Source organism: Homo sapiens, chromosome 7, assembly GCF_000001405.40.
Source record: "Homo sapiens chromosome 7, GRCh38.p14 Primary Assembly".
NCBI classification, from domain to species: Eukaryota; Metazoa; Chordata; class Mammalia; order Primates; family Hominidae; genus Homo; species Homo sapiens.
In genome coordinates this window covers 13102-35969 of record NC_000007.14, presented here as the reverse complement: position 1 = coordinate 35969, position 22868 = coordinate 13102, and the positions used below count along the sequence as shown (strand labels likewise).

At 42.9% G+C, this 22868-nt stretch overlaps 2 long non-coding RNA genes across 4 annotated transcripts; both read left to right on the top strand.

Annotated features, from left to right (window-relative positions):
* The first annotated feature begins 465 nt into the window (after positions 1–465).
* Positions 466–16351, top strand: FAM157D (family with sequence similarity 157 member D). Its single transcript, NR_197581.1, has 4 exons — positions 466–635; positions 4364–4910; positions 14941–15136; positions 16075–16351. It is a non-coding gene; the product is annotated as a family with sequence similarity 157 member D (long non-coding RNA).
* Positions 16352–19815: 3464 nt separating this feature from the next.
* Positions 19816–22365, top strand: LOC102723872 (uncharacterized). Of its 3 annotated transcripts, none has more exons than XR_002956529.1 (2): positions 19816–21991; positions 22088–22365. It is a non-coding gene; the product is annotated as an uncharacterized LOC102723872 (long non-coding RNA). The 3 variants fall into 3 exon arrangements; XR_002956530.1 differs by having other exon boundaries at positions 22085–22365; XR_002956531.1 differs by having other exon boundaries at positions 19816–21995; positions 22085–22365.
* Positions 22366–22868: the final 503 nt, after the last annotated feature.

Sequence of the window (22868 nt, the reverse complement as noted above, 5' to 3'; positions counted from 1 at the left end):
TCTGGGACAGCTTGCCTGGTACTGCAACTGGAGGACATCATTGCATCCAGAGAGCTTCCCACATGACAGTCTGTGAGCAAGGGACTTCGCCTCCCTGGATGGTGGTTTTCTTTTATGTAAAAGATGTGATCGTAGTCTCTATTTCTCAAGGGTGCTGTGAGAAACACACAGAATAAGGCCACGTGAAAGTGTGTGGCAGGTAGCGGATGCTCAGTAACGTGAAGCCTGCCCTTCCCGTAGCCTTTCTCTTCCTCCACTAGGTCTAGACTTCACATTGTCCCATGGTTCAAGATCCTTGGTTCATCCCAAGTCTTATCATCATCCCAGAAGGTTGGAGGCAGCTCCTGGGGAAATCCAGCTTCACGGTCCCACACTGATCACTTCCCCTGGGCATGGCCTGGTAAATGCAGCTCAGATCCGCTCCCCAGGCAAGTCAAGGAAGTTGCTGCCCAGAAACCAAGTGAGGACATTTACAAGAACCGGCGGCGGCGGCGGCAGCAGCAGCAGCAGCAGCAGCAGCAGCAGCAACTGGATTTGCTTTTTCACCAGAGGATCCAGATTTCCCTGTGGCCTTGCAAACAAAAAAGAAGGAAGACGGAGCAGCACAGTCATCCCTTTGTGAAAAAAGCATTCAGGTAACTGAGTGACTCAGCAAGCCTGGGTCTTGGGGAAATTACGAATACCTGGTTGAAGGGCAGTCCTCAGGCAGAGCCCCTGAGACCCGTTGAACTCTAGAGTGTGGGAGCAGAGGAGATTCATGGCCTGCCCAGGGGCAGTGTCCACAGGGGCAGAGTGCCCCCAGGACTCGCCCTGGCTCAGTTAAGGACTCCCCTCAGGATCTGCAGAGGTGCAAGGCAGGGTGCAGCTCTGCCTGGACTGAGCTGGAAATGCAGCCGTGTGGCTGAAGTGGCCACTTCCTGCTTTCTGTAAAGCAGCCACAGGGAACTGTGAACAGGTAAGACCCTTACTCTTGATTACTGAAGAACTAGAACCCAGGCTCCCTTGACCTTCTCTCCAAAAACCCAGATGACACGAGGACCCTCTCCCAGCTGAAGGGGCAGATTCATGCTTTAGAGTGTGGGGAGTCAGTGTGGGGGCACGTGAGTGTTTAGCTTAGGTGTGGGCCTCACAAAAGAGTCAAAACAAGTCAGCCAGGACTCCAGCAGCCTTCATTGTGTGAGAGATGCCAGCACTGTGGCCACAGCCTGACAGCTGCGCAGGCCACATAATGTGTGGGGCCGAGTGGAAAACGTGGGTTTTTTTTTGCTGTTGTTGTTCAAAATCATGAGCTTCCAGGGGCGGCAGCAGAGCTTTAAACTACTCTGGGGCCCTTCTGAGCACAGGACTTGGTATGACTGCACAGGGATACCTGGCAGGCCAAGTGCAGGGACAGAGCGGTCTGCCCAGAGGCCAGCAGGTCCCCAGTCAGTGTCTGGCACCAGCTCCCTTCATGACCTGGGCTGGCTCAGTTCCACGGGACTCCCAAGGCTGGAGGCTTCCCTGGAACATCATCCTCAGGGATTTCCCAACAGGAGCAGCCTCTGGCTTCAGATCTGTCCTTGTTTGACTCATAAATTATCACTCAGACTGAGAAAATTAACACTCAGTGATTCCTGAAAGGGTGCCCAGTGCAAAAGATAATTTTCAAAGTGAGTTCATCGGGGGATTTAATAGCCAGGCAATGTCCATTAAAACAGCGACAAACATGGGGAGAAAAGGAAAAGTTCCAACTGGAAACTCATGCTGGCTTGACAATTGTTCTCAGGGAGCAGAACAGAAGTGGGCATTTTCATTCTGGTTACACCATCAGCGATACCTCCACGGAGCCTCTCAGCTGGTTCCTCCTGGGTCTGGGCCACAGGCCTCCCAGTATTGCCGGTCTCGGAAGACATCTGTGGGCAGGTTCTGTAGAGGGAATCTGAGGCTGTGTGGGATGAGCTGCAGGACCCCATGTGGGGAAAGGCAGGAGGCAGCACCAGCTCCTTCACCAGGACCTGAGGGTACTGTGGCTCATCAGGGGCCATCGAGGACATGGAGACCCTGCACAGTGTTTGAGGAGTCCTGCTACATCAGTTTATTCTGGTTTAGGTGGTTGAGGGGAGACTCAGTGAAGTCTTGGGGGTTCAGAGCTACACTGCCAGCCTCTGGGACAGCAGCCCCAGTGTCCCCCGACCCAGGCCTTGCTCCTCCCTGCTGATGAACGCCCACTCTGCTCCCAGATGCACACCTGTCCTGAAGACACCCGGTTCTCATGCTCTTCTCTGCAGCACCTGAATTGGGCATTCCTGGGTAAAGCAGTTTAAGTTACTTTCACTTTTATCCACTTGTTTCCGTTATTTCAACCATGCATGTCCCTTGTGTATGTAGGATAAAGCTGTCTAAGAATAAAGGTCCATGATTTAAAGTTTTTTCCTCTTCTTTCCCTGTCCTGACCACCTGATCATAAACTTGTAGAAATAAAGTGGATCTCATGTTGTGTATCTTTCGATGCATCTAGAGAGATGGTTATATTCATATAAATAAACGGGCACATCCAGCACACTATTTCTAGTTGTCGTCTGCTAATAAGTTTACATCTGGTAAATGCCAGTGTTTCATGAAATGGCTGCATTGCACATGAGTCAATCTGTGTGACAAAGAATATGGCAGGTTTTGTACAGCCTTTGTAAAGACATTCTTCAATGCTGCCTTTTAAAATAGAAATGTTAAATCCTGTAACTAATCAACCTATGCCTTGTTAGAGGGCTGACATTTTCAATAATTCCTTTACAAAGGGTAGTGAGATGCATCAGATCCCCCAGTGGCCCCCAAGTAGGGACAGTGACAGTCAGCAGTTCTTTACGGACACCTGCTCCGTGGCAGGTTCTCCGCCGGCCCTGGCTGCGGGCGGCCCTCATCTAACAAGATGCTTCGGTCCATGGGTGGAGGACAAAGGCCTATGGGCTTGGGGAGCGAGTTCTTTCGTCTCCTACATGACCTTCATCTGCTCGCGTTTGCCATGAAGCGCATCTGGGTTGGAAGGAGATGGTGGTTTCCCACGGAAGTCTGGTCCCTAAGTGACGCCTCTGCTGCCTACATCAGAATCTCCCAGGCTTGCTCCACAGTGGTCCCGTCACGTGGTGCAGACTCAGGCGCTGTCTTGTGTGTGCAGAGGCAGGCTTGGTCTTGTGTGCTCTTGATCATGCACCTAGTCACATCTGTTCTACAGTGTTGCATTCTTCTAATTTCCATGCACATCTTTGCATAGGCGTGTTCCCATTGTTCCCATGCCAATAAGTGGTGTGCAAGGTTCCAGAGTGCGCCAGTATTTCTTTAGTCGGTGTCATGCTGTTGGATATTCAGGTTTTTTAACCTAGTGTAAATAACATTCACATTTCTAAAAACCAGAAGAGTGTTTGTGATTAAGATATCATCTTAGTGGATATTAAATTGCTGCATCTGATTTCATTTCTCTTTCCCAAATAGTCAGTTGTGTGGGCTAGTCTCATTCTGAAACTGCACACTCCCATCCCAGAGGTAGAAAGCGAGATCTCCTGCCTGCATTTCATGGAGCATGTGATTATGGAGGTGTCCAGTCCCAGCAAACAGACCCCACATTCTTTTCCTTCAGTGACTCAGACGCAATATGTGGAGAGTCCCAGACAGTATCGCTCCCTCACGTTCATTAACCTCCAGAGATTAAACATCACCTGATACACAGAACTGTGGGTTCCCCGTTTGGCTAAGCATCAGGTGCAGCCAGGTTCTTACCTAGGTGCACGTGACAAGGTGCTGCCAGATGCCACCAGCGCAGACAGTCAGTGAGCCCACCTCATCAGAGGGCACATGAGATCCCCAAATGAGAAAGAACTCTAAGGAGCCAAAATCTGCCAAGATGGGTACATTAAAGCTTGCAACTTTGCACGTGAGTGCACCCTCAGACTCAGCCAGTTTATTCTCCTTTGCAGTCCATTCTGAAAAGTCCAGCCAGATGATGGCTAAAGAGTAGAGAATGGAAGGTGGAAGGCGGTTGCTGCTTGCAGAAGAGGCACGCTGGCAGCATTGGCAGGGAGGAGGAGACTGGAAACTGAGTAGCAGATCCGAGAAACCAAAATGCTCAGCAAATGAGGGCAGGTGGCATGGAGCTACTTCCCTGGGTCCAAGAGCCTAATTACGTTATTGTTCCATAAGTTCATGGCCTGCGGTCATCAGGGAAAATAAAACACTGACTAGGGGTCGGTCTTTTCTGTTTAGAGGAGGCTCCCTGAAACCTCCCCCTCCCGGGTTCAAGCGATTCTCCTGCCTTAGCCTCCCGAGTAGCTGGAACTATAGGCGCCCGCCACCACTCCCGGCTAATTTTTTTTTGTTTTTTTGTTTTTTGTAGAGACGGGGTTTCACCGTGTTAGCCAGGATGGTCTCGATCTCCTGACCTCGCGATCCGCCCGCCTCGGCCTCCCAAAGTGCTGGGATTACAGGCGTGAGCCACCGCGCCCGGCCTCAGCTGGTTTTTCAAAAGTCATGGCGTGTAATTGTCAGAACAGTGAACTTCGGAGATCCACCGGAGGGGCGAGGCCACAGCTCGACCGCGAGCACCTGAGCATCCTGCACCGCCTGCGACGGCCGTCAGGGGGCGCGATGCCGCCTCACAGAACCTCAAGCGGCGCCCGGGTTCCGGCACAGACGGCCTGCGGCTCCAGGGGGCGGAGCCGAGCCGTCTCCTCAGGACCTACGCAAGAGGCGCCGTCATCCCTACAGGGACACCTGAGAGGGCCCAGCCTCCTCCTCCTCAGGACCCACTCGGGAGACGCCGCTGGCTCTCTAGGAACACCTGGGGACCGTGGCCAGGGACGACCCAGCCTCCTTCTCCTCAGCTCCTCAGGAACGACTGGGGAAGCTGTGGCTTCATGGTCCCCGAGGCTGCCCGAGGAAAGGTGAGGAAAAAGCTTTCTGTCCCGGCTCAGTGCGGAGGAGGCCGCGCTGCCTCGCGCTCCACTTTCTCAAGTTGTATTTATTTTATTTTACAAAGTGGCCCATCATTAAGTGGCTTTGTTATTCATTATTACAGCATACCTGAGTTGTTTCATTTTTTAATTTTTGACCAATTTGGGTTTGTTTGGGGTGGATCCGGGACAGAGAAGGGAGAAACCCTGAGGGCAACATGGAGAGCCCCAGGGAGACGCGCACCCCACGACTTGCTTTTATTTGCGTTCCAGTGGCTCGTTTTTCTTAGAGTGTTAAAGTACTTGAAAAATATTGAAGAGCAGATGTAGATGTGAGTTTTCACAACCGTGTTTTAAGTGTAAATACTGGACTTTGTCTGTTAAAAGGATTTTAGGTAAAATAAATTTAAGCGGAGTTTATTTCGGCAAAGGAATGGTTCATGAATCACGCAGGAAGCACCAGAACGGATGGGGCTTCGAGCTCTTAGGGTGGCCCCTAAGTGAGGCTCCTCAGTGGCTCCAGCTAGGCCACCGCCTGTTGTGGGGATGGTTCCCTCAGCGTCCCTAGTCATACAGCCAACTGGCTGCTGGGCTTTTTGGCATTGACTGTGGTTGGTTTGTTAATTTTTTTAAGTCAGTTCAAATGCCTCCAAGTTCGGTTTCTGTTTGCTTAGGGAAGGCCTCAGGCTAACCCCCGCCGTATTTGCTTTAACATGTCAAAACCATAATTTATTTTTCATTTTACTTTCCTGGCATTAATAGAAGTAAATTCACATTTGTGTGTTATTCAGAAAGTCGGTTTAATTGGCAACCTATTTGTGATGGTGCATAAAGTAATGTCTTTTAATCATTGGCATCTTAGATTAGATGAAATATGTTAACTCTCTTAAGCTTCGTTATTAACCCATAACAAGAGTTAAGTTTCTTTTTTTCTCCTAGGCTTTGACCATTTAAAATACACTCAGGCATCTCGTAACGATGTTATACTTTCTGAGAAATCTGTCCTTAGGTGATTTCATCTTTGTGTGAACACTGTAGAGTGTCCTTATAAAACTTAGATGGTGTAGCCCACTCCACACCTAAGTTACATAGTATAGCCTATTGCTCCCAGGCTACGAACCTGTACAGCATGTCTCTGTACTGAATGCTGTAGTCAACCATAACACCATGGTGATTGTAGATTGTGATCCCAGAATATCTGAGACAGGTCTCAGTCAATTTAGAAAGCTTATTTTGCCAAGATTAAGGACACGCCCATGACACAGCCTCAGGAGGTCCTGACGACGTGTGTCCAAGGTGGCCAGGGTAGAGCTTGCTTTTGTACATTTTAGGGATACATGAGACGTGTAAGATGTACAGTCATTTGGCCCAGTAAGGCGGGACAACTGGAAGCAGGAAGTGGGGGTGCTTCCAGGTCAGAAGTAGGTTAGAGACAAAAGGTTGCATTCTTTTGAATCCTTCATCAGCCTTCCACTGAATACACAATTTAGTCTGGCTCAATGAATCTGCATTTTTACATAAATAATAGGGCAGAGGAAGCAATCAGATATGCATCTGTCTCAGGTGAGGGATGACTTTGAGTGCTGTCTGTCCTTTGTCCAAAAGGAAATTCTTTGTGGGCAAATTGTGAGTGAGGTATGTAGCTTTTTATCTTTGTAGCTATCTTAGGAATAGAATGAGGGCAGGTTTGCCTGACATAGCTCCCAGCTTGACTTTTCCCTTGGCTTAGTGATTTGGGGGTCCTGAGATTTATTTTCCTTTCATGGTATCAGAACAGAGAAAAGGTAATGCGTTGAGCCATGAGCTTATGACAAGATGGCTAGGAAGGAATTTTTCAGCTCCATTTTTATCTCATGGGACCACCATCGTATGTATGCAATGCACGAGTGTAAAATCACATTTAGTTAAGTCAGCTTACACTAAGCTATGGACCCAGATGGTCCTGGGGCCTTTTTCCACTGGGAGATCTTTAAGGACCTTTCTTAGCTTTTCTATGCTAATTGGTATATTCATAGTTGCCTTATTTCAGTGCCCATTTTGTTAATGTGTATTTTTACTAGGAAATCACCCATTTTTTCTAGGTTTCCAGTTTGATGCAATTATTTGACTTTTAATTTCTCCTCTGTTTTTAGTTTTGTACATAATTTTCCTATCTACTTTTGCACTCTTTTTTCCATCAACAATGTTTTTAAAATATACTTTTTAGCTTTTTTTGAAGAATTGTTATGTTTGACAATTTTTTATGACCTAATCATGACCGTAAATGATTTTTAATTAATTTCAGCTTAATGTCTTTTGTAGGGCACAACTGTTAAAATACAAAATTACAACAAATGTGGGTTTGCAGATCTTAATTGGCTTTTTTTGTGGTTCTAGAATCAGGCAGCAGTCCAGACCAAAAATGGTTCAGAATGATCTGCCACACAACATGTGCGGGTTATATTTATAGCCAGAGAAAAAAAGTGACATACAGAAAACAGAAGTGAGGTATAGAGGTGGCTGGATTGGTTACAGACCTGGTTACAGCCCGGATTTGCCTTCTTGGAACTTGTTTTGAACAGCTGGCTGCCGGCCATTGACTGACACTCGGCTGATGTGATTGGCTGAACCGCCGCTATTTGTTACCATGATACATTCCCAAGTCAGATTTACAGTTTGTTTCTATACTAAATTAGGTTGCGATTCTTCTTGTTCTTCTTCTTTTTTCTTTTTTGAGGCGGAGTCTCGCTCTGTCGCCCAGGCTGGAGTGCGGTGGCGCGATCTCAGCTCACAGCAAGCTCCGCCTCCCGGGTTCATGCCATTCTCCTGTCCCGGCCTCCCGAGTAGCTGGGACTGCAGGCTGCCGCCACCAAGTCCGGCTAATTTTTTTGTATTTTTTTTTAGTAGAGACTGGGTTTCACCTTGTAAGCCATGATGGTCTCGATTTCCTGACCTCATGATCCACCCGTCTTGGCCTCCCAAAGTGCCGGGATTACAGGCGTGAGCCACGGCGCCCGGCCGCGACTCTTTACAAGGACTCCTTGGGAGGCTTCTAGAGCCCAAATGTTGTTTGATGTAAGAATTCCTCCCTTTTGGTCAGCCTCTCAATTTTGAGATATTGATCAAAACTTTGGGCATTGGTGTCACTCTTTGTTATCGTTGTAAATTGAGTTATTAGTACTTATTTGCTTTCAGTGTGGCATTTTCAAGTTTTATTTGGTCTCAGTGCCCTCTGGGCAATAGCAGAACACTGTGTTGTGTAAGGCGGAAATAGAGCAATAGAAAATAACAACTGATTTGTTAACATCAGATTACTTCAAGTTACTTGTTTTGGTAAGAATTAAAGCAGAGGGGACTTCTTTATGCTGACTCAGGTAGACTGGAATCTCTTCAGGGAAAAAGGGAGCTCTTTTGGGATCTGTCTACTTCCTTAAAGTTTCAGCTTCGTTGTGTGTCATTCAGCGTGAGTGTCTCCATTCTGGTTTTGCCTGCTCAGTGTGGCCTAATGCGGGAGTGGTGACCGAAACAATGACCTCCCGTAGTTTGTTCCACAGTTCTCCCCTTTTGGTTGGGTTCCTGCCTAGGTGAGGGTGTGACTAAAACCTTAGGGCATTAGCAGTATTCTCAGTAACTATCATTTTAGGGTTCCGGTCTTAGGGCATTAGCACTATTCTCAGTAACTATTATTTTAGGTTTCCGGTCTTAGGGCATTAGCACTATTCTCAGTAACTATCATTTTAGGTTTCCGGTCTTAGGGCATTAGCACTATCCTCAGTAACTATCATTTTAGGGTTCCGGTCTCAACACGTCATTTAAGAAGTCAGTAAAGCTTTCTTCTATTGTGACAGCATATTTAATACTGAGAAGGAAAAGAAAATTTTTATCTTGCGAATGTGAGCTTCCTCTAAATTATCAGGTCCAGAGAGGCGTGGGAATGAGGCAGCAGTCACGTCCCATTTCCCGCTTAGCTAAGTAATCATATCTTGAAGCTGCTTGCTATGTAGACTAGACTGACTGTCATCAGCTATAGATTAACCTAAGAGTGTCTTTGAATATTTTTTCCAGTGGCAAATATTTGCTTCTTTTGTATCGTAGCTGAAAGGAATGCTGGGAAACAAAATAAAGGCAAGCATTCATTAGAATAAGTGATCCAGTCACAATGAATCAATTTGAACTTTTTTTTTTTTCGCAGAGTCATACTTTGAAAACGTCCAGCCGTAAATTGAAATAGTCTCCAAAATGTGAATTTTTTTCCCTGGTTCTAAGATGACCAGCTTTCTTAGAGAGTGAACTACACCATAAGGAAAATGATATGACCATGTTTACACATATATGTTATCTTAACATAAAACATGTAAAAGGGGCATTTCTTTGAAAGTATATATTAGTCTGTATAATTTACTTTGCAGTATCATGAATGCTCTTATTTTTAAAAGTAGGAGTAGTTACTGTCAATTACTAATTTTTAGTACAAATAATTTAGCAGATATCTGAAAAAATTACAATTTTTAAATAGAGGTTTTATTTTAAATTAGTTTTAGATTCATACAGAAATTGGGAAGAAAATGCAGATTTCCCATGTAGACGCAACCTAGTTTCCCCGCTTTTTAACATACCAACATGTATCAGATAGGTTTAACATCTTTTTTTTTTTTTTTTTTTTTTTCAGACAGAGTCTCAACCAGGCTGGAGTGCAGTGGCGTGATCTCGGCTCATTGCAACCTCCGCCTCCCAGGTTCAAGCGATTCTCCTGCCTCAGCCTCCTGAGTAGCTGGTATTACAGGTGCCTGCCATCATGCCCGGCTAATTTTTGTATTTTTAGTAGAGATGAGGTTTCACCACGTTGGCCAGGCTGGTCTTGAACTCCTGATCTCAGGTGATCCGCCTGCCTCAGCCTCCCAAAGTGCTGGGATTACAGGCATGAGCCACCACTCCTGACCAACATCTTACATCATTTCTTGTCATACTTAATGACTGGATATTACTATATTATTAAATAAGCTCACATCTTATTTGGTTTCCCTTAGTTCTGCCTTTTTCTCTCCCAGGATCCTATCTAGGATCCCATAGGACATTTAGTCATCATGTCAGGCTCTTCTTGGCTGTGACAATCTCTCAGACTTTACTTCTGAGGACCTGGAACAGTGTTAGGAGGATTGGTCAGGTATTGTGTAGAATGTCCTCCATTGTGGTTTACTTGGGGTTTTTCTCATAATCAGCCTGGGTTTAGGGGTTTGGGGGAAGCAGAGCAGATGTGTAGTGTGTCCACACAAAGAGTCAAAGACTGTAAAATATTTTAAGAGATGTATTCTGAGCCAAATATGAGTGACCATGGCCCTTGACACAGCCCTCAGGAGACCCTGAGAACATGTGCCCAAGGTCGTTGGGGTGCAGGTTGGTTCTATACATTTTAGGGAGATAGGAGACATCAATCAAGTGTATTTAAGATATATATTGGTTCGGTCCAGGAAGGTGGGACAACCCAATGGATTAGGGTGGGGGGGGGGGCTTCCAGGTTATAGGTACATTTAAAATTTTTCTGATTGGCAGTTTGTTGAAAGACTTACTATCAATAGAAAGGAGTGTCTGGGTTATGATAAGGGGTTATGGAGACCAAGGTTTTATCATGGAAATGAAGCTTCCAGGTAGCAGGCTTCAGAGAGAATAGATTGTAAATGTTTCTTATCAGATTTAAGGTTGTGTTGATGTTAAATGCTGATTGGCTTTTCCTGAATTCCAAAAGGGAGGAGGGCATAATGAGGCATGTCTGACCACCTCTTTCCCATCATAGCCTGAACCAGTCTTCCAGGTTAACTTTGGTGTCCCCTGGTGGAGAGGTGGTTGGGGGAAAGATCTTTGAATTTTATTTTTGGTTTGCAAGTGCTAGTCTAGTCACTTCATGCTCTCAAGATGTGTTATCACCATTAATGTTAACTTTTATCACTTGGTTGAGGCAGTGTTTTCAGGTTTTTCACTGTAAAGTTACTTTTTTCCCATGTCTATATTGTATGTATGCTTTTGGAGGAAGTCATCATGCAGAGCTCATACTTAAAGGAGTGGGGAGTTAGCCCCACCTCCTTGATGGCTGTCTGTATCAGGTATTTGGAATTCTTCTGTATAAGAGATTTCTATTCAGCCCATTTGCATATCTGTTTAATCATTTATTTATACCAGTATGGGTCCACAGATAGTTACTTTAATCTTTTGGTTGTTATCTAATTGTACAGTATTTTGTTGCTCTTTGTTCATACCTGTGGCCATTGGTAGCTCTTTCCACTGGCTCCTTTTACATAATTTCATGTTTTTTTTATAATTTATTTCTGTTACTTCAAAAGTACCCTGGCTCATATATTTTCTGTCCCAGTCCTAGTTTCAGCTATTTCTTCTAATAGCCCTGATTTCTTTTGTTAGAGAATGGTATGAAAAACTTACATCTGGCCACTAAATGTGGTCATTGCATCATGACACTTACAGCTGACAGTGCAAAGAAATATATGTGTGTCTTCTAACTTATATGTACCCACTTAATTATAAAGGTTTCTATGTGGAACCATCTATGTATATGTTAAGCTAAATGTGAGTTTATACTTACGTTGTATATATATATTCTGACTCATTATGACAGAGATCATTCTAGGCTTCCCTATTTTTTATCTGTAACTTCTCGCTGTAATAGTGAGGAACCTGAATGTGAGTTTATACTTACGTTGTATATATACATTCTGACTCATTATGACCGAGATCATTCTAGGCTTCCCTATTTTTTATCTGTAACTTCTCGCTGTAATAGTGAGGAACCTGAATGTGAGTTTATACTTACGTTGTATATATACATTCTGACTCATTATGACCGAGATCATTCTAGGCTTCCCTATTTTTTATCTGTAACTTCTCGCTGTAATAGTGAGGAACCTGAATGTGAGTTTATACTTACGTTGTATATATACATTCTGACTCATTATGACCGAGATCATTCTAGGCTTCCCTATTTTTTATCTGTAACTTCTCGCTGTAATAGTGAGGAACCTGAATGTGAGTTTATACTTACGTTGTATATATACATTCTGACTCATTATGACCGAGATCATTCTAGGCTTCCCTATTTTTTATCTGTAACTTCTCACTGTAATAATGAGGAACCTGGCTCCTACTATCTGCCATTTATTTCATCCCTTGTACCATTGGGAACAAGGAATTCATTCTTGATCAAGATTCCAGGTTGGGACTTAATAAGAAATATATGTTTGGTCTGTGTCTGCAGTTCCTGGTACAGAGCTTCTAAAACTATTATAATTTCCTGAACAGTAGGGGTGCTAGGAGCATCTTGTGTTCTAATATTTGGTCTTTGGCCCTGGTTCCTGACGCAGAGTTCCTAAATCTCTTGGAATCTCCTGGATAATAGGAATGGCTTCTGTTCTAATAAGGACACTCTGTGGGTTCCTGGATGGTTTCAGGATGGGGATGGTCACCAGAAAGACCAAGCCATGATAAGAAGGTTGTAACTTTTAGCTTAACATGCAATCCTTTGAGGGTGTGAAGGGACTGGAAATTGAGTTAATAATCCGTCATGTCTACATGATGAAGCTTCCATAAAAATTCCTAAAATATGGAATTTGGAAAGTTCCAGATCAAGGCTGACAGATTTGATGTCTAGTGAGGGCTCATCTATCATAGATAGTGCCTTCTAGCATGTCGTGACATGGCAGAATGGGGAAACGGGCTCCTAGATGCTTTTATAAGGGCACTGGTTTCATTCATGAGGACAGCACTCTCATGATCCGATCACCTCTCGGTTACCTCTGAATACCATCCCTTTGGGGATTACATTTCAAAATAGGAATTTGGGGTGGGGGTGTACACACATTGAGACCATAATAACTAGTAAACATAAGTAAGTATTTCCTAGTTCCATAAGCCATCATAGCAAATTGTCAAACCTGAAGAGGGGGTGTAGGAATGCCTAGTTTCTAGCCAAGTCATATAGAAGTTTGGGTAAACTGGGGATTCACAACTTGTGATTGGCATCTGAGGTTGTGGACAGTCTGGTGTTACTAAGCCCTTAACCTGTAGGGTGTATACTAACTCCAGGTAATCAGTGTCACAGTTGAATTACAGGATACCCAATTGTTTTCCAGAGAGTTGGAATATTGGTTGGTATGGGAAACACCCCCCACCCCCCACAATTTGCTGTTAAAAGTGGAGTGTTGATAGTATAGAGGAAAATCATGGTTATTTTTCTTTTTACAGATATAGTAGTTTCAAAATTAACTATTATCCCTATGGGAAATAACTTTATAAAATAGAGTCCACTGTTCGTGTATATAGTACGTTTTGTTTTTAGTGTATGGATTCTACTCATTTCCAGCTCAGCACCTTTGGCCCACCACTTGCAACATACATTGGTAATACAGTTAGATTCTTGGTTGCACTCTGTATTTTGTCCTTATATACTTCCACATCCTAAATAATTTAATTTGTGTAGCTTGTGATTTGTTCTTTGTGCATTAAAATTCTGTGGGTTTTATCAAATGCATAGTGTCAGATATCCACTACTGAAGTAGCATACAGAATACTTCAAATCCCCACCCCAGACAGTCACTGATCTGACTATCATCTCTTTGGTTGTGCTTTTTCCAGAATGTTATATGAATGGAGTCATATAATGTATAGCATCTTCATACTGCCACCCTTTACTTAGCAACATAGATGCAAGATTCATTCATTTGTTTTCATGGATTGACAGTTCATTCCTTTCTGTTGGTGAATGGTATTCCATTGCATGGTTGTACTTCAAATTGATTATGCATTCAGCTATTGAAGAACGTTCTGACTACTTCAAGTTTTGGCCATTATGAGTAGAGTGGCTCGTATATAATTACATGCTAGTTTTTGTTTGAACATAATTTTTCAAAGCAGCTGTCTAAACATACACAATTTAGGGGTGCATTTGTTGGATTGTAAGGTAACACTTGTTTATCTTTGGGAAAAACTGTCAAACTATTTCCCAAAGTGGCTGTACCCATTCATGCATTCTGCCAGTAATGAATGGCCGTACCTATTGTTCTTCAACCTCCAATTGTTACTGTTGAGCTTTTTTAAGAGTCCCACAGTTGTACTAGGTGTGCGGTGATATCTCAGCATTATTTTAATTTGCAGTCTCCTAATGAGATATATTGAGCATCCTTTTGTGTGATTATGTGCTATCAGTATATTTTCTTTTTTTTTTTATTTTATTGAGATAGAGTCTCGTTCTGTCACTCAGGCTGGAGTGCAGTGGCGTGATCTTGGGTCACTGCAACCTCCACCTCCGATGTTCAAGCAATTCTCTTGCATCAGCCTCCCAAGTAGCTGGGATTACAGGCACCCACCACCATGCCTGGCTAATTTTTTTGTATTTTTAGTAGAGAGGGGGTATCACTATGTTGGCCAGGCTGATCTCAAATTCCTGACCTCAGGTGACTCACCCGCTTCAGCCTCCCAAAGTGCTGGGGTTATAGGCATGAGCCACCACACCTGGCCTGCTATCTATATATTTTCTTTGGCTGGATGTCTGTTCAGATATTTACCCAGTTTTATTTGGGTTTTTAGTTTTCTTAGTGTTCGTTTGAAGAGTTCTTTGTGTATTTTCAATACAGTTTTTAAAATCACGTTTGTATTTTGTAAATATCTTCTGACAGTGTGTCTTGTCTTTTTGTTCTCTGAATAGGGTTTTTCATAGTAGAAAATTTAGTTTTATAAAGTCTGTTCTCAGTATTTTCACGAATTGGCACTTGATGCTGTGTGTTAAAACTCAACACCAGATCCAATGTCTCTTAGGTTTTCTTTTAGATTATTTATAGTTTTGCATTTGAAGTTGTAGTCTCTGGACTATTTTGAGTAGGTTTTTGTGTTTTACTTTGTGTATAGAGTCATTTCATTCTATATGGCTTCCAAATAATTCTTCCATCACCATTTATGGGAAGGGTATGGATATACTGGCCTTTATTTCGGTTTGAATTTCCAAAATTATGACACTGAATAAACTGAATATTGAATTTTATAGGTATTTCAGGACAGCCAGGAGGGGGCGCACATCCGCCGAGAAACTGTGAGCAAGAGCGTCTGTGCTGAACCATGGCGCCACCAGAGGGCGCGCGATCCCGCCCCAACCAACTTCCCGCTGAAGTGCCAGAAGCAGCGAGGAGCTTCAACTTCCTCAGGGCAGCACGGGGGTCGTGTTAATTTGGTGTTCTTCATTGGTGAGTAAAAAGCTCCTGTCCACGGCCCTGAGTGCCAAGGAGTGAGTCTTTAGAGCACTCAGCAGAGGAAGAAATTCATCTAGAAAAATAAAGCCCCCAAATCTCACTATTTGGAGTACACCCTAATATCATTGTCAACGTCCAAGACACAGTGGCTGCTAATATATATTCTTACAGTGGCCTCTAATATAATAATCACACTGTGCTCTACATTACTATGATATCTACACCGTGCCCTAACACCTATATAATATTCACACCATGCGCTAACACTGATGTAATCCACAACATCGCTTCCAATACTAATGTAATAATATCCACACCATGCCCTATCACTGATCTAGTCCACACCATCGCTTCCAGTGCTAATGTAATAATATCCACACCATGCCCTATCACTGATCTAATCCACACCATCGCTTCCAATACTAATGTAATAATATCCACACCATGCCCTATCACTGATCTAGTCCACACCATCGCTTCCAATACTAATGTAATAATATCCACACCATGCCCTATCACTGATCTAATCCACACCATCTCTTCTAATACTAATGCAATAATATCCACACCATGCCCTAACACTGATGTAATATCTGCACCATTCCCCAACACCAATACAATATCCACACCGTTCCCTAACACTAATCTAAATATCCATACCATGCCCTAACACTAATATATTGACACAATGGCCTCTAATACTAATAAATATAATAATATCTACTAAGTGGACTCTGTTGACATTGAGACTTTGTTAAGGGTTTTACAGCTTTGGCTGAACTATAGCCTCTGTAATGGATTTTGATGATGTGTCTGCTTTCCTGGCATGGTATTGACATGGTTGTTTTAAAAAGTAACTTATTTTCCAATAATGTCATATGTCTAGGCAACTTCCAGTAGTAGTACAAAGTACAGCTTGTTTCTTCCCTTAGATTCCCCAACAGTTATTGCTGTACCAGATTTGCAGTGTCCCACAAAATACTCCGGTATATTGTACTGAAAGCATGGACACTCTCCCAGGTAACTACCACATAACCCCTAGATCAGGAAATCAGCGTTGTTCCTACATGATAATTCGGTCCACAAACTCACTTCAGTTTTACCTCATGCCACACTTGGGAGTATAATGTGTTTTTTTTTTTTTTTTTTATTAGGATCCAGTTTTCTTTTCCTGGAACTGTTCCCCAGACTTTCCTGCATATTTATGACCTTGACACATTTAAAGAGCATACAGGTTTTTGTTTGAACAGTTGTTTTCAGGTCTTTGGGGTATATACCTAGGAATGGAATCATTAACTCATATGGTAAATCTATTTGTAACTTTATGAGGAAACATCAAATTATTTTACACGTAGGCTGCACCATTTCATATTGTCACAAGCAGTGTTTAAGAGTTCAAGTTTCTGCACATCTTTGTCAACACTTGTTATTTTTTAGTATAACTATTCTTGTGTGAGTTAAGGGTTATCTCTTTATGGTTTTAATTATGGTAATGATGTTAAGCATCTTTTCATGTGCTTGTTGGTGAAGTGTGTCTTTTGTCAATTTTTAGATTGGGTTGTCTTTGCTATGGAGTTGTAAAAGTTCTTTATACATTCTGGATAACAGACACTGATGAAGTATCTAATGTGCAGACATTTTCTTCCGTTTTATAGGTTGTTGGAACGTAATAAGAGTTAATGTGTGGTCTCTGCTGCAGTGTCCTGAAACAGAGCGCTAAGCCTTGGGAATGTACGAAGTAATGTGTCTTTCGTACGCTAATGAAATGATTGATGGCTGGGGGCACCTGGACAGCCTCAGTGGGGCTGGCTGCCAAGGGAAGCAACCTTGTCATGAGAGAATTTGAAATTTCTTCCCCCGTCCCGTCTCTGTGAAGGGGAGAGGTGCTGATGGTTGAGTTGATCACCTATGGCCACAGACGTAACCAATCTGCCTGTGTAATAAAGGACAGGGTTGGGAGAGCATCTGTGTTGCTCTCCCAACACAAGAGATACTGGGAGGATCATATCTGGCGAGGGCATGGGAGGCCTGCATTCCTTCCATATACCTCACCTTGTGCATCTCTTCATCTGGCTTTTCATTTGTAGTGTTTAAAAGATCCTTGGTAATGAGTCAGGAATAGTAAGTACACTGCTTTCATGGGTTGTGTAATGTGATGTAGCAAATTGCTGAACCCAATAAGGGTGTTGTGGGAGTCTCCAATCTGTAGGAAAGTCAGACAGAAGGTAACCTGGGAACCTACTGTTTGTGGTTGGCATCTTAAGTGGTTACAGTCTTGTAACTTAGTACCCATATTTTCTTAAAGAAGAAATGAATTCGTTTTACCATTTTGCTGTTCCTGCACTTAGCTCTTTAGGAATGCAATTATAAGCTTTACTGTCTCTCCACCAGACACTTCCTATACTGCAAACTTTTCCAACTGTGTGATTACTTATAAGTTCCAGGGACCAAACCTTGAAACAAACTGGCACTTCCATATCTCTCCCCCACCAGTAGATTGGCAGCAGACAACAGTCAATTTACAACCTGGCTCTGCCCGTGGTGGTGCTAGCAAGACCACCTAATGGAGAAAACATCAGAGCATGTCCCATAGACCCCGCACCTCCTCACCTCATCCCCTGCATGCCATTCTGGCAAGTCCGAAAGCCCAGCTTTCTGCCCAGAAAGTGGAAGCGCTTCCCTTAAGGCAAGAGCCTGTATGTTCCCTTCAGCTAAGCTCTGGCATAAAGTCACTTTCTTTTTACCATCCTTGTGTTTGTCATTTAAATTTGCAAGCGACAAGGGGCATGACGTGTATTCCTAGGACTGAGCCCTTAGCCTGTGGGGTCTGATGCTTTCTCCATTTACTGTCACAATTGGATTGCACTGTAGGACACGCAGCTGGTACCCAAGATTTGGTCTGTGTGGGGAAAAAACCCATGTATCTGGTAACAGAAGTGTTCTGTGAGTGTTGAGAGTATACTATAAGACAGTTGTTTTTCCTATTATAACATTTTGTCTTTCAACTTTTTTCTTCATGTCTTCTGAGACGTAAAAGTTGTGAATTTTGAGGAAATAAATTGATTTATTTTTCCTTTTGTGGTCTGTGCTTTTGGTGTCAGATGTAGGAAACTATTGCTACGTGTAAGGTCATGAATGCTTAACTGTACGTTTTCTTCCAGAGTTTTTAGTTTTCACCTGTTTTGGTCTTTGATCCATTGTAAGTTAATTTTTTATGTGGTATGAGGTAAGGATACAATTTCATTTCCCTTTATGTGGATAGCAAGTTGCCTTACATCACTTGTTGAGGACAGGATTCTTTCCCCAATTTACTGGTAATGGACCTTGTCTAAAATCAGTTGAGCATAGAGGTATTGTTTTCTGTCTGGACTCCCAATTCAATTCAGTTGATCTTTCTGTTTATTCCTGTGCAAGGATCCCACTGTTTTTATTACTGTTCCTTTGTAATAAAATTTGAAATTGGGATGTGATCAGGATCAGCTTATCCACTTCTGTCCCAAGGCCTTTGGGATTTTTGTAGGAATAACATCGAATCCACGGATTGCTTTGTGTACTTTGGGAAACTTAACAATGTGGTCTACAAATCCACAAATAAGATACATTTTTACATTTACTGGAAGTTTAATTTCCTTAAGTAATGTCTTATAATTTCCCTCATCTAAGTCTTGTCGTTTCATTCCATTTATTCCTAAGTATAATATTGCTATTGGTATTGTTTAAGGTAGAATTTTCATAATTTGGTGTAGAGATTATTCATTCCTAGCATATACATATAAAATGGAATGTTTGGCCAGGCACCCGGGCTCATACCTATAACCCAAGCAGGTTGAGAGGCTGAGGAAGGGTTAGGGTTAGGGTTAGGGTTGGGGTTGGGGTTGGGGTTAGGCTTAGGGCTTAGGGCTTAGGGCTAGGGCTAGGGCTAGGGCTAGAGTTAGGGTTGGGTTAGGGTTGGGTTAGGGTAGGGTTAGGGTTAGGGGTTAGGGGTTAGGGTTTGGGTTCGGGTTTGGGTTATGGTTAGGGTTCGGGTTCAGGTTCGGATTTAGGGTTCAGGTTTATGGTTCGGGTTAGGGTTCAGGTTAGGGTTTGGGTTGGGTTTAGGGTTAGGGTTCAGGGTTAGGGTTTGGGTTAGGGGTTACGGTTAGGGGTGAGGGTGAGGATGAGGATGAGGGTTAGGGTTATGGTTAGGGTTAAGGGTTAGGGCTAGCGGTTAGGGGTTAAGGGTTAGGGGTAGGATAAGGGTAAGGATTAGGGTTAGGGTCAGGGTAAGGGTAAGGGTAAGGATTAGGGTTAGGATTAGGGTAAGGGTAAGGGTTATGTTAGGGTTTTAGGGTTAGGGTTTTCGGGTTAGGGTTAGGGGTTAGGGTTAGGGTTAGGGTTAGGGTTAGGATTAGGGTTAGGGGTTAGGGTTAGGGTTAGGATTAGGGGTTAGGGTTAGGGTTAGGGTACTGTAAATAATTTCACATTATTATAATAAATTATTATTTGTATTACACTATTACATAATGTAAAGGCTATTAAGACATGTTTGTCTTCAAAGAATGGCCTTGGTTTCTGTGGGCAGTGCCTCCTCATGGAAGGGTAATGCATTCCTGCTAAATCATGGACAAAACGGGCTTCCAGGAGCTACAGGCTGCAGCAGCAGCTCCTCCTCTAAGTCCTTCACTGCTTCAAACTCTTGTTGACTTTGTAAGCTTCTTTCAGTCTAGTTTTTTCAACAGAGCTAGTATTTCATGAGGTTCTACTACATACCAGGTTCCAGAAATCTAAATGCCTTTTGTTTGTTATTTTTCACTAAATACAAATCACAACTCTCTCCTCATTACTCACACAACAAAATTTAGCTGAGGGAGATTGAGTGACTTTCCTAGGGTCACATAGCTACTAAGAGCAGAGCCGTGTTTAGATTCATGTGGGAATATTGAACACAGAAATGAACCAGTGGAAACATCCTGTGTTCCAAAAGCCTACTCAAGCCATTTGTTCTTATTTTAAGGAAAATCTTTATGCTAATTTTAAACTCCAAATACTTATGAATGGCAGAGATCTACAGATTTGATTCTGATGTAAGAAATGATGGTCACCAGCCGGTTACTGCTACCACCCCACAACCCCGAGCATACTGGACGAATGTCTAAGCCTTGTGGTTAGTGGGGACAATGCTGGTGGAGTCTGAAGTTGTCATGCAGTGACTCATGCAAGCTTAGGCAGATTTGGTGATATATGACACAGAGATGCAAAGAAATGTTGTAGCTGACACACACAGGCTGGCTCTGGGAGATGCAGAAGGAGCACGTCACCCAAAATAGAGCCAGACAGACATCCTTAAGGAAGGAGCAAAGGGGCTGCATCTTAAAGAATGTAGAAAGGATTTGTCATGAGAGATGGGGCAGGAAGTTCTTCAGAGGCAGAGGGAGAGCATGAGAATGTTGGGAAGGGAGGAGAGATTCTTGCACATCTGGGAAGCTGACAATCCATCAGCATGGCCAGAAGGAAAATAAGGAGGAGGAGCAGAAATAGATGAGGCTGGATATAGAAGCAGGGCTGAAGCTGTGTCGATTGTGGTAAAGAGTTGTGATTCTATCCAGAACGCAATAGGTAGCATTCTAAACAGAGATCTTTTAAAACAAGAGTCAGCAAGTATTTTCTGCAGGGGGCTAAATGTTAAATATTTTAAGTTTTCCAAGCCATATGGTCTCTCTCTCTCAATGACTCAGCTCTTCCATTATACCATGAAAGTAGCCAGAGACATTATGTAACACATGTATTGGCTGTGTCCCATTACAACTTTACTTACAAATGCAGACTGTGTCAGACATGGTCCATGCATGGTAGTTTGCCACACCCTGTTTTAGAAAGCTCAGGTTTATGATGTGATGGAGAATGCCTACAAGAGCTCTTGTTTTAAATGGTAGAGTGAACATACACTGGAATTCTATCCTGCTTGACCCAAGCTCTTGATAGCGAAAGGTAGAAAAGATAGATGGTAAATAGATAGATAGATGATAGATAAAGAAAATACATAGCTGTTCCAGAAAACAGAAATGGATAACTTCATGAACCAAAAGCAGAGTAATATGCTTTAGAAAGGAAGCAGGCCGGAAAACCCACAGTTGCAAAACAAATAGAATTTCCAACTGCCTCTTGTAGCCCCTTCCTGGAAGTAGTCACAGCCCAGGGTGTTCGACTACTTCCTCTGTTTTTTGTTTGTTTGTTGTTTGCTTTTCTGTGGGGTTTCTGTTGTTGTTGTTTGCTTTTAAAAAAAAATTCCCTTTCCCTGCTTTTTTGTCACAGCAGCCTTTGTCACTTCAAACACCGCAAGTGTTCTTTAAAAAAAATTATATCAACCTTTCAATTAAAATGCAACATGTCTGAAAGTTGGTATCTGGAGAGGTGAGTTGGACAAAGGAGCCCTTGTTACTGCACGTTTTCATTCTTCAAATTTCACCTTGCACGCAGTAACAGACAGTGCACAAAGCCACTTCCTTATGGACGGAAATTCTGAAATCCTTTTATGCCTGGCCTTTCCATCCTTCAACTTCCCCTCTCCCACGCTGTGAATGATTGTATTGGACATTTTTGTTTTAATGTCAGTGACAGGGGAACACAGGTAGCTCTAATATAGCTGTGACCCAGATGCTTCTGTTTCTAGCATGTATTTATTTTGTAGCAAACATTTACATCCATGATGTTTCACTGTCTTCTGAAAATAATTAGGCAATATCTCATCTGAGGTAGGATGTTTCTAGGGGTTGTGTTCTGAGGGAGGAAAACTAATCTGTTCTCTTTCCACTGCATTCTAGGAACAGTAAGAGGACCTTGTGCATGAATAATTTGTTTCCACACTACAGAGTGGGTAATAAGCAGACTAGTAAAAACAATTCTGCTTCACTTCAATAACAGCCTCCTCCAACTCATTTTTTCTCAACAAACTTATTTTTCCAGCAGAAGAATCCCAGACTTCTTAGAGAACCCAGTGACTTTTTGCACCTTAAATCTGTGAAATCCTCATGTTTTCTTCTGCCGTATCCATAGTTCAAACAAAGATGAGGCAAAGCTAGACGCATTCCTGAAGGAACCCAAGAAATTCCTCTCTTTCTTTCTCTGGAATGAAATGAATTCTCTAGACCACCAGTTCTAACCTTCAAAAACCAAACCTGTTTGTGAGATCTTCAAATACTACTGTAGACCCCAGTGTTTATTCATTAAATTTTTTAAATATTTGTTTTATTTGGAATCAAAGTATTTGTAATTTTAGTGTTTGTATTAATATCAGGGAGAAATGTTTAAATCTGTCTTATGCCATATGTGCCTCTGGCTTATTGCCCAATTAATTGTAGTCTCAGGCTAAACTTTGGTTTCTGTCTTTAATTTTTGTCAGAAGAAATATAACTGATCTCAAAACATCTGCTTTTATTGTAGGGGCTCGTGCTGCCGTCTCCATTCTTCTCTCTTTTCTTGCAATCTGGGTGGAAGTTCTTTAATATGAACATTTCAACCACCTTCATTCTACCATGTCCACTATCAGCACATTCAAACTGATCCAGCCAAGGCTGTCATCTTAGGCCAGGGATTTTTTAGGAATCTATTTTGCTGTGATGCGGCTGGCACCCCTTTGACTCACTGTATCACCCCAGGGTTCTTTTCATTTCAGAAGCCCAAGAGGGCAGAAAAAGAAGTAGGTGAGCAATTAAACACTCTGAGTCAGGAGCGTCTCCCCTTGCGTTAA